This window comes from Homo sapiens, chromosome 10 (genome assembly GCF_000001405.40).
Source record: "Homo sapiens chromosome 10, GRCh38.p14 Primary Assembly".
In the NCBI taxonomy this organism is placed as follows: Eukaryota; Metazoa; Chordata; class Mammalia; order Primates; family Hominidae; genus Homo; species Homo sapiens.
Genome location: NC_000010.11, coordinates 25,452,332 through 25,467,316, shown reverse-complemented (window position 1 = coordinate 25,467,316; position 14,985 = coordinate 25,452,332). Strand labels below are relative to the sequence as shown.

Sequence of the window (14,985 nt, the reverse complement as noted above, 5' to 3'; positions counted from 1 at the left end):
CATCTATTGTCTCTAAGGGCAGCCACTATGAGACTTCAAAAGAACCTTGGTCTCCACAGTCTTTTATCTTAACTTGAACATTTCCTTTCTATTGATCCCAGGTCTTTAGACAGATTCAACCAATTGTCAACCAGAAAATGTTTAAATTTACCTATAGTCTGGAAGTCCCCCACACTTCAAATTGTCCTGCCTTTCTGGACCAAACCAACGTATTGCTCGAATCTGATTGAAGTCTCATGCCTCCCTAAAATGTATAAAACCACGCTGCACCCCAACCACCCTGGGCACATGCTCTCAGGACCTCCTGAGGGCTGTGTCAGGGGCCATGGTCACTCATATTTGGCTCAGATTAAATCTCTTCAAATATTTTAGAGTTTGACTCTTTTAATCAACAACTTCCTTCAATAAACCTTTGCTTACTTTACTAATTGTCTCTTGGCCAAAGTCTTTCTTTCAAGTAAGACAAGAGCCAAAACCTCCACACTTCCTAGTAACACCAGGGTGTGTGTATGTGTGTGTGTGTGTGTGTAAACAGTAACTTTATAGTATGCAACATAAAATAAATTTCTACTTTAAAAACAAAATTCTGTTACTTACTGGAAAGTATAGGAGCAGAGATCCAAAAAGGATCGTTTCCAACAGGATAAGGCCCGATGCCCGGATGCTCTGAAAAAACAAAATAAAAACGTCATTACTAACTTACATTTCTAAGCCTGGAGAATTCACGCTATTGTGAAAATGCCACAATGCAGTAGGACAGCATTCTTTGGGGGAAATTAAATAAATTAATGAAAATTGGTTAGTATTCAGGTGGGTAAAAAACTAGAACATGCAAAAAGACTGATTATAAAGGTGTTGATAGGCTTAATAATATCGCCAGTGGCTGCATGAGATTTTGTTCTCTAAAATTTGTATCATTAAAAAGCCTGAGCAGCTAAGAACACTATCTTGAAGATACTTTTGAGACGAGAAGTCTTCTCCCGATTGAAGGTCTTTTCTCGATCGAAGGGTTCGTGGTCTCACGGGCTTCAGGGAATGAAACCGTGGACCACAGCGGCGAGGGTTACAGCTTGATTAGACAAATACACAGACCCAAAGAGTGTGCGGTGGCAAGATTTATTAAAATGAAAGTGAAAGTGAAGCTTCCGCACGGCGAAAAGGGACCCGGAAGGGTTGCTGTTTCCGGCTTGGGTGTCTTATGCTTATATCCCCTTATGACCCCTCCCCTTTTCCTTTTTCTGTCCTGTAGAATTAGCTTATTTTCTATCCGCCTGTGAGTTGGTGGGCCTGATGGGTTAAAAACATCAGGCTGCAGCTAGAGCTTAAACTCCCCTTTGATTGGTTGAAGTTTCAAGCCCTCAGCTTGCAGCTATTTTGGCTTAGGGGAAAGTCCCTTTAAGGAAGTCCCTATTGACCCAGGAAGAACAGCCAACTTAGCCACTTAGTCCCTCACTTTCAATCCACGAAATTTACAAACGAGATCTTGCCTGTATTTCTAAAATATGAGCCACCAGTGCATACTGAATGCCATTCCTAAACTATTTCACAAATACCTGTGGGATAGTGTTGGTGGGTAAAAAAAGCACATGCACAAGGTCTTGAAGTCTGCGTATCTCCCACCATGCTAAAATATAACCCCTAAAACTCACAAACACAGCTTCGCTATGTGCACAATATAAATCACATTAAATAACAAGGGTATCTCACCTTGTGAACATGCATACATGTTATTCTTTACTCAAAATTCAAAAGAATTAGTTGATTTGATTTTCAAATAAATTTCTGAATAGTTTGCTAAGCATGAATATATCTAATAACCTTAAGATATTTTGTTAGACTTAAAATAGCATTATCTTCTCCAAGCAAAATTCTTAGAATTGAAGCAAGAAATAAAAGACCAGTAAAATCAATCTTATTTTCTACAATAAATTTTGCTTTAATGAATTCAAGTATCAATATAGAGCAAATATATCAATTAATACTGCAAACACAAAAACAGGTCATTTTAGGCATGCTGTGTTTTCACTAAATATAATACAAAATGTATACAGAAATTACACGTGGTGTAAATATCTTAACAGGAAAATAATTTGCAGTAGTAACAATTAATTTTGTAACAATAAAAAAATTCTGAAAGGCCAAACCACAATACTGCATTATATAAAAGCACTATCAGACAACTGGATAGCCAGGGAGAAAAAATTCTAATTCCCCTTCCAAAAATCCCTGTGGGGTATTGTTAAAGATATAGAAATACTTTGTGTAACCCTCAAAAAAAAACTCAGGGCTTGCATTAATTTAAGAATTTGGGAATAGAGAAACAAGTTTAGTCAGTGAACAGCCTTGATTATTTGAGTGGCTTCTTGCTATTGGTCATTATGTTAGATAGAAGACGCTTTTGGTGAAAAGAAAATTTCTATCAGCAAGCATTTAAATGGGTTTTGGCTGGCAGAATTTCCAAAGTGGCAAGGTACATTTGCATAGTATGCCTAATTATGAAGCTTATTTTTTAAACATTCCAAAAAAGACACAAAAAATGAAAATCCAAAATATTATACATGACTGTCTGTAAAATAATTTGTATGCTATTGGTTGGCTGAACAAGAGGACATGAAAAGCTGCTGCAAGGTACGATGAAGAAGACAGACTTTGGAGTTAACTCCATCTCAATTTGAATTATGAAATAACCACTTTGTGTTGGGCCACCTGGAACTTCAATGGTCTCACCCATAAAACGGGTATTTTAATCTTTACCTTATTAAATCTGACAGATTTATTAAATATGAAGTATGCAAAATGGCTGGCATTGTACCTGGTGCTTAATAAGTAGATACGTATTCTTCAAGGTAGAGAACAGCACCAGGATGATGAATTTGAAAACTAGAAAGAATATATCGCTAACAGTCAAATTTTGTTTAATGCTTGGGATCCAAAATGACCCAAGAGGAGATGAATGCCTCGAGTGGGGGACCTTCCCAGGGCTGTGGTCATGCTGTGGTTTGATGGCCTCTTCCATCCTGCAATATCTTCTAAGATTTTATGTCCAGTAGGCTCAGTAGCAGTGTCACAACCATCACCACCACATAACAGTAGCAGGAGTACGTGCTTTTATATATTCTCAGAGCAGATAATCTGTCTCCTTTTCATTTGTAATTGTTGAATAATCTTCTTAGGAGTTCACTGCCTTGCTCCTGGCTAAGCAGAGGAGCCCATAATTTCAGATTATAAATTGGAACTCTGACAAGTGGTTCCATAATAAAATGTAAGTCCTGTTCAAAATGCGCACTTTTTTTCTTTCAAAATATTATTTGGAAGAGCTGCCTTTGTGGCCTCACAGAATGAGAAGGAACCTAATAGGTGAGATTTTAGGACAGAGAAGAGATCCATGCTCCCCAACATATTTCCTCCACTGTCTTATTGGTACTAGAAAATCTTTTAACTGGCACAGAGCCTTTTATTTTATGCTTGGTACCAAGGATTAATATACAATTTTGTAAGTAATACATTGACAAGTTCAAAGCAAAATATAGGAATCTTGTTTAGAGTCTCACTGGTAGGGTGAGGAAGGACAGAAAAGACACTAAGTGTGTATGGGGGTGGGGGCGGTGGTTGAAAATTGAAGATGGATGAGAGAGACAATGAGCAAAATAACAGAGACCAAGAAAAAAAGTCATCTCCTTCCTAGTTATGCCTGAGATAGAAAGAAATGGTGATATGAAACTATAACCAGAGTTGTTAACTGGGAAACTTATAAAAAATCTTAATTGAAAGATGATCAGTAATACGCAGTATGACACTATTTATACAAAACACATATACATAAAACAACACTACACATTTTCTCTATGTATCCAGGCATACCTCATCTATATATCTGTCCATCCATCCATCCATCCATCCATCCATCCATCCATCCATCCAGACAAACCTCAGAAATATTTTGGGTTTGGTTTCAGACCACAGCAATAAATCAAGTATCAAAATAAAGTGAATCACACAAATTTTGTGGTTTCCCAGTGCATATAAAAGTTAAATTTACACTATAGGCTATTAAGAATGCAATAGCATTATGTCTAAAAAATAATGTACTTGCCTTAAGGAAAAAAATACTTTATGGCTAAAAAATGCTAATAATCATCTGAGGCTTCATCAAGTTCTAATCTTTTTGCTGGTGGAGGGTCTTGCCTCCATGTTGATGGCTGCTGACTGATAAGGGTGGTGGCTACTGAAGCTTCAGATGGTTGTGGCAATTTCTTAAAATAAGAAAACAATGAAGTTTGCTGTACCAGTCGACTCTTCCTTTCATGAGAGATTTCTTTGTAGCATGTGATGCTGTTTGATAGCATGTTACCTACAGTTGAAGTTCTTTCAAAATTGGAGTCAATCCTCTTAACTATAATAATGTAATATTCTAAATCCTTTGTTGTCATTTCAACAATGTCCATAGCATCTTCACCAGGAGTGGATTCCGTCTGAAAAAACTACTTGTTTGCTCATCCATAAGAAGCAACTCCTCATTCATTCAAGTTTTATCATGAGATTATGGTAACTCAGACACATGTTCAGGCTACACTGCTAATTCTAATTCTCTTGCTATTTTCACCATATCTGCAGTTAGTTTCTTCACTGAAGTCTTGAACGCCTCAAAGTCATCCATGAGGGTTAGAATCAATGTTTTCCAAACTCTTGTTAATGTTGATATTTTGATCTCCCATGAATCATAAATGTTCTCAATGGCATCTAGAATGGTGAATCCTTTCCAGAGGTTTTCAGTTTACTTTGCCCAGATCTATCAGAAGAATCACTATGGCAACGATCGCCTTACAAAATGTGTTTCTTAAATAAGAAGATGTGAAAGTCTAACTCCTTAATCCATGGGCAGCAGAATGAATGCTGTGTTAGTGGGCATGAAAACAACATTAATCTCCTTGCATATCTCCATCAGACCTCTTGGGTGACTATGTGCATTGTCAATGAGCAGTAATATTTTGAAAGGAATCTTTTTCTGAGAAGTCTCATCAGTGGGCTTAAAATATCCAGTAAATCATGCTATAAATAGATGTGCTATCACATCCAAGCTTTGTTGTTACATTTCTACAGCACAGGCAGAGTTGGTTTAGCATGATTCTTAAGGCCCGCAGGATTTTCAGAACAGTCAATGAGCATTGGCTTTAACTTAAAGTCACTAGTTGCATTTGCCCCTAACAAAAAGGTCAATCTTTCCTTTGAAGTTTTGAAGCCAGGCATTGACTTCTCCTCGCTAGCTATGAAAGTCCTGGCCTGGCGTGGTGGCTCATGTCTGTAATCCCAGCACGTTGGGAGGCCAACGTGGGTGGATCACAAGGTCAGGAGATCGAGACCATCCTGGCTAACATGGTGAAACCCCGTCTCTATTAAAAATACACACATACAAAAAAATCAGCCGGGCGTGGTGGCAGGCACCTGTAGTCCTAGCTACTCGGGAGGCTGAGGCAGGAGAATGGCGTGAACCCGGGAGATGGAGGTTGCAAGAGCCAAGATCACACCACTGCACTCCAGCCTGGGCAACAGAGCAAGACTCCATCTCAAAAAAAAAAAAAAAAAGAAAGTCCTAGATGGCATCTTCTTCCAGTAGAGGGCTATTTCATCAATATTGAAAATCTGTTGTTTCATGTAGCTACCTTCATTGATGATCTTAGCTAGATCTTCTGAGTGACGTGCTGCAGCTTCTCCATCAGCACTTGCTGCTTCACTTTACACTTTTATGTTATAGAGATGGCTGCTTTCCTTGTACCTCACGAACCAACCACTGCTAGCTTCTAACTTTTCTTCTGTAGTTTCCTCAACTCTCTCAGCCTTCACAGAATTGAAGAGAGTTAGGCCCTTGCTTTGGATTAGGCTTTGGCTTAAGGCAGTGTTGTGACTGGTTTAATCTTCTATCTAGAGTACTCAAACTTTCTCCATATCAGCAATAAGCCTGTTTTGCTTTCTTATCATACATGTGTTCACTGGAGTAGCATTTTTAATTCCCATCAATTTTTCCTTTGCATTTACAAATCGGCTAGTTAGTGCAAGAGGCCTAGTTTTCAGCCTATCCCAGCCTCCACTATGTCTTTCTTATTAAGCTTAATCAATTCTAGCTTTTGATTTAAAGTGAGTGATATGTGACTCTTCCTTTCACTTGAACACTAAAGGCCATTGTAGGATTATTAATTGGCCTAATTTCAACATTGTTATGTCTCAGGGAATAAGGAGGGCTGAGGAGAGGGAGAAAGATGGAGGAATTGCTAGTTGGTGGAGCAGACAGAACACATTCAACATTGATCACTTAAGTTCACCGTCTTATGTGGGTGCGGTTCATGGCATTCCAAAACAATTACAATAGTAACATCAAAGATCAGTGATCACAGATATGATAATACTAAAAGCATTTGCTGAAATATTGCAAGAATTACCAAAATGTGACACAGAGATACAAAGTGAGCACATGCTGTTGGAAAAATGGCTATGATAGATTTTCTCAATGTAGAGTTGCCACAAACCTTTAATTTGTAAGACACATGGTATCTGTCAAGCACAATAGAGCAAAGCACAATAAAACAAGGTATGTCTGTGTACATATACATACTAAATAGATGTCTGGAGGATACATACTAAGTTGATAACAATGTTTGTTTGTTTGTTTCCAGAGAAAAGGGTAGATTTGGGGATAGATCAACTTATCTGGAAATATGTTAATATCTTTGAAGGAGAGGTAGTCATTTATTACTATGTAATATACTTTAATAAATAAATTTTAAAAACCTTCGTGTCAACTCAACTATTAGAAAATCTATGATTTTAGGCTGGGCATGGTGGCTCAAGCCTGTAATCCCAGCACTTAGGGAGGCCGAGGTGGGCGGATCAATTGAGGTCAGGAGTTCACCTGGCCAATATGGCGAAACCCCATCTCTACTAAAAATACAAAAATTTGCTGGGCATAGTAGCAGGTGCCTGTAGTCCCAGCTACTTGGGAGGCTGAGGCAGGAGAATTGCTTGAACTTGGGAGGCAGAGGTTGCAGTGAGCCCAGATCGAGCTACTATACTCCAGCCTTGGCAACAGAGCAAGACTCCATCTCAAAAGAAGAGGGAAAAAAAAAAAAAGAAAATCTCTGATTTGGTATTATAATATGCAAATATTATGCAATAAGTCTAAACAAAGCCCTTCCTTTAACTAATATTCTTTAATGAGTTTTTATTTGGCACCAGCTGATGCATATAATCATCAAAAACTGTATCTTATAATTTTTGCAGATGAATATAAAGCTGGGGGAGTTATCATTGAGCCTAACTCTCTGGTTTGGAACCCATAAACCCTAATCAATATACCTCCCAAGTTTACAATAGAGGTGAGTATATTCTACCTTACTCCATTTCCATCCCAACTTCCCCACTTTGTAAACTTTCAGAACTGACTTATGGAGGTTTATAACAGCCAGATATCAAACCCATAGACAAAAAAATATGTCAAATTATATTATACTCATTTCTATCAAATTACATCAAAGTCAATTTCTAAATTCCATGTTTGGATGCCAAGTATAGAAGCATAAGATGAAGCACAGTTGTAATTGCCATAGAAGATTTGCCTGGGATATAAGCACCCAGAGGAAGCTAAGTCACTGGATGTAATAAGAAGAGAAGAATGCTCAAGGCTGCATTTTTAGAAGTAATTAAAATGGCTTATTATTATTTTCCTGATTCTATGGGGACTAAGTACTTCATTTATATTTTTTAAGCATTTTTAGCCTCTGGGGAAATTAATGTACATCTTGCTAAAACAAGGCAGCTATTTTTTTGGTCACTGCTGATTTCTTCAGACTTACAACATTTAGACCTTCTATTACAAAAGAAACCTCTGAAGATAAATATACTTTTATATAGTTGGACCCAGCATCTATGAGGAAAATATGAGAGAGCAATAGAACTATATTTTGAAAGAGATGAACTAGCATAAGTTTGAATGACAAACCAAGACTGTATAAATCTATATCCTTTTAAAAAAGATATACCAATGCAAGCAGGATAACAAACTTATGAGCTGTACTTTTTTATTTTTAATTATGCTATTTCAATGAGAAATTCATGGACAGAGGGACTTCATATGAAACCTGACAAACACCTGATAAAATAATTACACAATATGGATTGGAAAAAAAGATGTAAAAGGTGATCCTAAAGAGAATCTTAACATTGAGAGGTATGAGGACACTATCTTTCAATAATTTTATTAACAATTACATAAATGGAAAAGAATAGACTATATCCAGTTTGAAAGACTGCATGTAGTTAGCTTATGTTAAGAAGATCTGTGATAAAATATTTAAAAATCAATCAAATTTAGTAAAATTTGTCAAGGCACAATTATATAAAATGTGGTTAGTTAAAATCAATTTTAGGTTTTTAGGAGAATTCTCAGCAATAAAAAAGCTATTTTCATAAAAATGAAGAGATAAGGTCATGGCAGAGACTCCCAAAGTAAAATGTATGTAAGTTAGAGAATTACAAACTGATGGATTAAACCACATAGATTTGATCACTACATGGTCTGGAACTTTGGTATTAACCATTTATTAGCTGTGAGATCTTGGGCAAGTTGTTCAACCTTTGAGCCTCAGTTTCTTCATTTATAAGATGGGAGTCATAATGCCCAGGTGTATATTGTTGCAGAGATTGGCAATAATGCTGCCTGGCACAGAGCAGGGGCTCAGTCAACAGTAGTTCTTCATGAATCTTTCAAGTACAGATAGAGGAAATGAAGTCAGCAGAGAAGTGAAGCTCACTCGGCTGATCAGTGCCAGAACAGTCCTGTCTTCCATAGCTGCTGGTTCCCAAATCAGTGAGATTTCCTCTGTGCATCCAATCTGACCCTCAGTGATTTTCTTACCCAAAGTAACAAGAACAGAATATGTAATAATGTAATAACAAAAACATGTAACACTACCAAACTACTTAAAAATAAATCTCAAGTAAGGGTTTGGTACAGGTATTATAAAAAATTTACTAATCAATTTTAAATTCTTGACGGTCTTAACTAAAACACTAAAAGAAATTTCATATTGCCTTAAGTAGGTATTCTTTCTAACTTCTAAGACTTCATAAGAAAGCCCATTTTTTCATACAGCATAATTTATAGGTGAACAGTTTAATAAGACCTTTTTGAAGAGTAAGTTTATCAAAAAATAAAGTTCACATTGATTTATACATAATTTGATGTTATTTAAAACAGTATGACACACTAAATAAAAAATTAATGATTTTATATACATGTGAAATTAGAAATAACAAGTCATTCATTATTAATTATGATTTATCATATATTGCTGGGCAGAAACTTTACATGGCTATGGTGATTTTTTGTTGTTGTTTTGTTTTCAAAATTTACATGAGATGCTTGTCAATTCATTTTGCTTTGTTTCAAATAATGTGCACACTTAAATGTATTCCCCTCTAGTCTCATCTGATTTTCTATCACAAAATTGCTGACTCACTGCAGTTGCAGAGATGCAGAATAACTTAGATGCATGAGAGGGAATGTTTTGGATACCCTTCACTTAGCTTATCCCTCATGCTCATGATCAAAAGCAACTTAGCACCCAAACACTTGTTATCAGCCTTCTCCTCATCTTTCAGACCCCTTTTCTGGCTAAGAAGCCTTTCAAATACATTCCTAACATATGGATGGCTTTGCCCTTACTTGGCCTCATTTTTCCGATGGCTTCACCGTAAAAATATGCAAAATTAGCTGCTACTTCTCTGTAATCTATTTGTGACCTTCAAATTCCTTTTTCTTCCAATACTACTACATAGAGTAACTCATATTTCACTTAAGTAAATTCTCTAAATGAAAAAAAAAGCATACAGAAGTCATACAGTCAAAAATATCACATAAAGAGATCTTGTCTTGAGGGGTTATTGTACATTCTTAAATAAAGTAACATAAAATTATGGAAACAAGCAATGGCATTTGCTTAGACTTCTACTACTCATTAAAAGCTATTAACAGGCCAGACGCAGTGGCTCACATCTGTAATCCCGCACTTTGGGAGGCCAAGGCCGGTGGATCACCTGAGGTCAGGAGTTCAAGACCAGCCTGGCAAACATGGTGAAATCCCATCTCTACTAAAAATACAAAAAAAAAAAAAAAAAAAAAAAAAAGGTGGGCATGGTGGCTGGCAGGCACCTGTAATCCCAGCTACAAGGGAGGCTGAGGCAGGAGAATTGCTTGAACCCGGGAAGCTGAGGTTGCAGTGAGCTGAGGTCATGCCACTGCACTCCAGCCTAGGTGACAGGGCGAGACTCCAACACACACACACAAAGCTATTAACATTATTTTTCAAACAAAAATTAGACTATTAAAGGAACAAAGACCCCCCATGAAAAATCTTAATAATTAAACTCTAAAGATTATTAGATATTTAAAAATGTGACACTATTGAGAGAAAATACTTGATTACCCTTTCAAAGCATCACTCTTTGTTACACTGAGATAAACTCAAATATTAGTGAGTTTGACATCATTTTTTTAAAAACATAAAATGTACTTTATATTTAGAGAAGTTCAATAGACTTCACAAGTCATTCCTCAGTTTCACCTGACTGCTAAGTAAAAACAGATGTAAATAATTTTTCTTTAACATTTGAACCTTTTTAATCTTAGAAGTTTCTGGTTTTTTAAAAATTTGAAATGTCAAGAACTGTGTTCTGCAAGGTAACTACTTTAAAATTCTACTGCTCACACCTAGGCAAAACAGCCCATCAACTGGTTGCTAGAACTCATCAGTAATGCCTCAGTCTTCTAAAAAAAGGAGAAAAATGTCGTAATAGGAAGAGAATTTCTCAGAACTGTTAAGTTTATCTTTAACACACTGTCTATCCTCTGTAGTATGCTTGGAAGTGTATGAAATGCCCAGAAAAAGTGTAAAACAAAGAAACATTTCCTGTTTTGTTTGACATTTGGAGATAGCCTAAACATTCCAGGACTTGTTATGTTCCTTATGCTACACTCTACATGTAACACAACAATTTTTGATTCTGACAAGACATTTACAAGGATACAAAAGAGTGTGATAAGCGTTTCAGCAAGAAAACGAACAAAAACATGATTTAATAAGGTGTAACAGATGCCCCCTATTTGCAAGAAGAGGAAGCAGTTCAGAAATTTAAAATAGCAGTATTGTATTTGACAGGCAAGCAACAAAGGTAGACTATAAAGGGTTGTAGGGTAGCGATTGTTATTTAGATGCAAAGATGATGAAAACAGGAATTTAAAATTCAGTCTCTAAAATGGTATAAACATTTATAGATCAAGTTGGATTCCGATTTGCCTCAAACTTGGGGGCATTAAGAACTGCCAAATGGGTATCATAAAATTTAGTCCACATTGAATGTATCATTCTTAAAGTTGTCTGCCAAAGGACAAAGTGTAAAAAAAGAGGGGAAAATATTAATTAGCTAACATCCTGTTTACATTTTTGTTGTCAGTTTTAGTCATTTGCTTCACTAAATTCTGCTGTTTCATTGGTCTTTATGCTTATCAGCGAATTATTAATATGTTGCAATTACATATCTTGATATTTTAGAGTCTCATATATTCTATCATGAACATGAGTAAGTAACGATTTTCAAATAATAAATTCACAAGTCTTAACTAGATAATAAATACTAACCCGTACAGAATTCATAAAGGTCACATTAACTGATGGATGTTTTAATTAGTCTTCTTTCTTATCTGTGATGAATCCTTTGCTCTAACATAGATTATTTTACACATTAGGATCAGACTATCAACTCAGAAAGACACGAAAGACAGAAGAGAAATAATTAAATACATACAGAAATCTGACAGTAGAGAATTACTGAAAAATTAAGGCAATGTTATAAAACCAAACGTTAGAAAAAAAAGTTTTATAATATAACAGATTTTTTTAAAAGCAATTCTGTTTAACCTTATCAAAAGCTGAACTATTACTAAATCAGTCTCCTGGAAGTAACAAGCTTTTTGAAACTTTCTAAACTAATAACTCCAAACAGATGTCTTCAGACTAAACCTCTTTCTAACCTTTAGACTCATTTTTCATTTGCTTATTAGATATTTCCACCTGAATGACCTATACAGAGGCACCTCAAACTCAAGATGTCAAAAACTAAATTTTTCCAACCTGCTTTTCTATTTAAGTTCCCCATCCTGGTGAAATATAATAAATAATTTACCAATGTCATAGTCAAACTATATCTGAAAAATACATATACAGGCTAGAAATAAAGAAGTGGGTTTTATGAAATATTCATGTTTAACTTTTGGTATTTTTCAGAACTCCCAAAATTTTGTTGACCAACTGCCTTACTAAATAAATGAATGAGTGACTGACTGACTAAATAAATGATGAAATGGAAAAATCCAATACTGTTGATGCATATTCAAGGGGAGAAGAAATTCTTCATTTTTAATACATGGTCTCTTCTATGATTTAGAGAATAAGTTAAACAGTCCAAATCTTATAAGGAGAAGGAGGAGGATAAAAAAGTAAGAGAAGGAAAATGGGAGAAGTAGAAAAAACTATCTGTTTATATTTGGTTTAACATACTACTAATCTTGGTTTCATAGGGATTAAAAATGGGCGAGGCAGACAGGGTGGGTGGAGGCAGAACAGGACCCAGGTGTAAATGAAATCACTGTTCTTTTACCTTTCTCACAGATGCCTTCATCTGTTTTTACTGTTACTCTCCTGCCATTAGCCCTCCCATTTCAGACAACTAATAGCTTCGTGTCACCTTTTCTGTCCTCTCATCCAGGCTTGCCTTCTTCAAGTAAGGCACATATTTCAAAGTAATTCCCTTATCCCTCCTAATCCATAACTTTCAATTTCTTCCACGCCTTAATCTGTCTTATAAAGAAAAAGAATATAATACATTTCAATTAGGCTGTTAGTAATTGAGAGTAATTTAATCATTTCTCCTCCGGGTCGGACTTGGAAGACAAAATAGCCAAATAGCCAACATGTATATGAAATCAACATACAAAATGTATACAAAATCAACATACAAAAATCAGTTGTGCCTCTATACATCAACAACAAACTATCTAAAAAAGAAATTAATAAAACAATCTCATTTTCAATAGCCTAAAAAGAAAATATGGAAATAAATTTAACCAAGGAGGTGAAAGAGCTGTATATTAAAAACTATAAGATATTGATGAAAGAAATTAAAACACAAATTAATGTGATATCCCATGTTAATGAATTGAAAAATTTAATACTGTTAAAATATCCATACTACCCAAAGTAATCTACAGATTCAATGCAATCTCTATCAAAATTCCAATGACATTGTTCACAGAAATAGAAACAAAATCCAAAAATGCATGTAAACCACAAAAGACCCCAAAACAGCTAAAGCAATTACAAGTCAAAAGAACAAAGTTGGAGGCATCACAATACTTGACTTCAAAATATACTACAAAGCTATAGTAATCAAAACAGCATGGCACTGGCATAAAAACCAGACACGCAAACCTATGGAACAGAATTGAGAGCCCAGAAATAAATCTATATGTTTATGGTCAATTGATTTTTGATAAAGATGCCAAGAACACAAAATAGAAAATGAACAGTCTCTTCAGTAAATTGTATTGGGATAATGAGATATGCACAAACAGAAGAATGAAATCAGATCCTTATCTCACATCACATAATACACATACACAGAAATCCACTCATTAATTGGAATTAATAAGAATATTAATTTTTTAAAAGAAAACATACAAATAGCCAACTGGTATATGAAAATGTGCTCAACATCACTAATCATCAGAGAAATGAAGAAAAACAAAGATACAAGAAATAAAACTACCATAAGATGTCACCTCACACCTGTTAGAATGGCTATTATCAAAAAGACAAGAAATAACAAGTATTAGAAAAGATATGGAGGAAGGGGAATCCCTGCATACTGGTGGGATGAATGTAAATTAGTATAGCCATTATGGAAAACAGTATGATGTTTCCTCAAAAAATTAAAAATAGAATAATCGTATGATCCAGTAATCCCACTAACAGATATATATTCAAAGGAAATGAAATCAGTATGTCGAAGCGGTATCTGCACTCCCATGTTCACTGTGCATTATTTACTACAGCCAAGATATGAAATCAGCCTTAGAGTCTATCCACGGATACATGGATATAGAAAATGTGGTGTATGTACACAATGGAATACTATTCAGCCTTTAAAAAGCAGGAAATCCTGTCATTTGTGACAACATGGATAAAACTGGAGGACATGCTAAGTGAAATAAGCCAGACAGAGAAAGACAAATACTGCATGATCTCACTCAGATGTGAAATCTAAGAAAGTTGAACTCATGGCAACAGAGAGTAGAATGGTGGCTGCAGGGGCTAGAGGGCAGGGGAAGTGGGGAGATACTGATCAAAGAGTAAAAACTTTCAGTTATAAGATGAATAAGTTCTGAGGATCTAATATACAGAATGGGTGGCGATGGATGTGTTAATTAATTTGGTTTTGATAATTAATAAGCAATGTATATCATATCCTTATGTTGTACACTTTGAATATATACCATCTTTGTCAATTAAATATTTCAAAATTTAAAATAGTAAGTCCATCCAACCACAATTACCACACGTCTGTGCCTCAGTAAGACCCCTAAGGCCTTGTTGAAGACAAGATATATGAGTAGATTTGCTTCCCTTTATCTATTTCTTTGATTGAAGCAAAAGTTTGTATAATAAGGAAGTCCAGCTTTTCTGATGTGACAAGTGCCATGACATGCTGGGTGGGTGCCACTTCAAGGTCCAGAACAGCAACTCTCTTCCACTGCCACAAATATACTCCATTTACTGTAGTTTTTTCTGTTTCTTTTTTGGCTACATTTTTAAGACTATAAAAGAGATATAAATGAATGAATTGCAAAAATACAAAAGCCAATTTTGGCCAGGTATCGTG

The 14,985-nt window shown here is 35.6% G+C and overlaps 1 protein-coding gene across 3 annotated transcripts in view; it reads right to left on the bottom strand.

The window, feature by feature from the left end:
* The window catches only part of GPR158 (G protein-coupled receptor 158), a 427,229-nt gene that overhangs the window by 134,913 nt on the left and 277,331 nt on the right, over window positions 1-14,985 (bottom strand). For 2 of the 3 annotated variants that reach the window (XR_930512.4, NM_020752.3), the window contains exon 5: window positions 598-666. Coding sequence is in view for 1 of the 3 variants with exons in the window: in NM_020752.3 (NP_065803.2) it covers window positions 598-666 (69 nt within the window). In the remaining 2 variants the exon portion in view is untranslated. Of the gene's footprint in view, window positions 1-597; window positions 667-958; window positions 1,133-14,985 lie in introns of those variants that run through there. The other variant, XM_017016452.3, reaches the window with a different exon arrangement.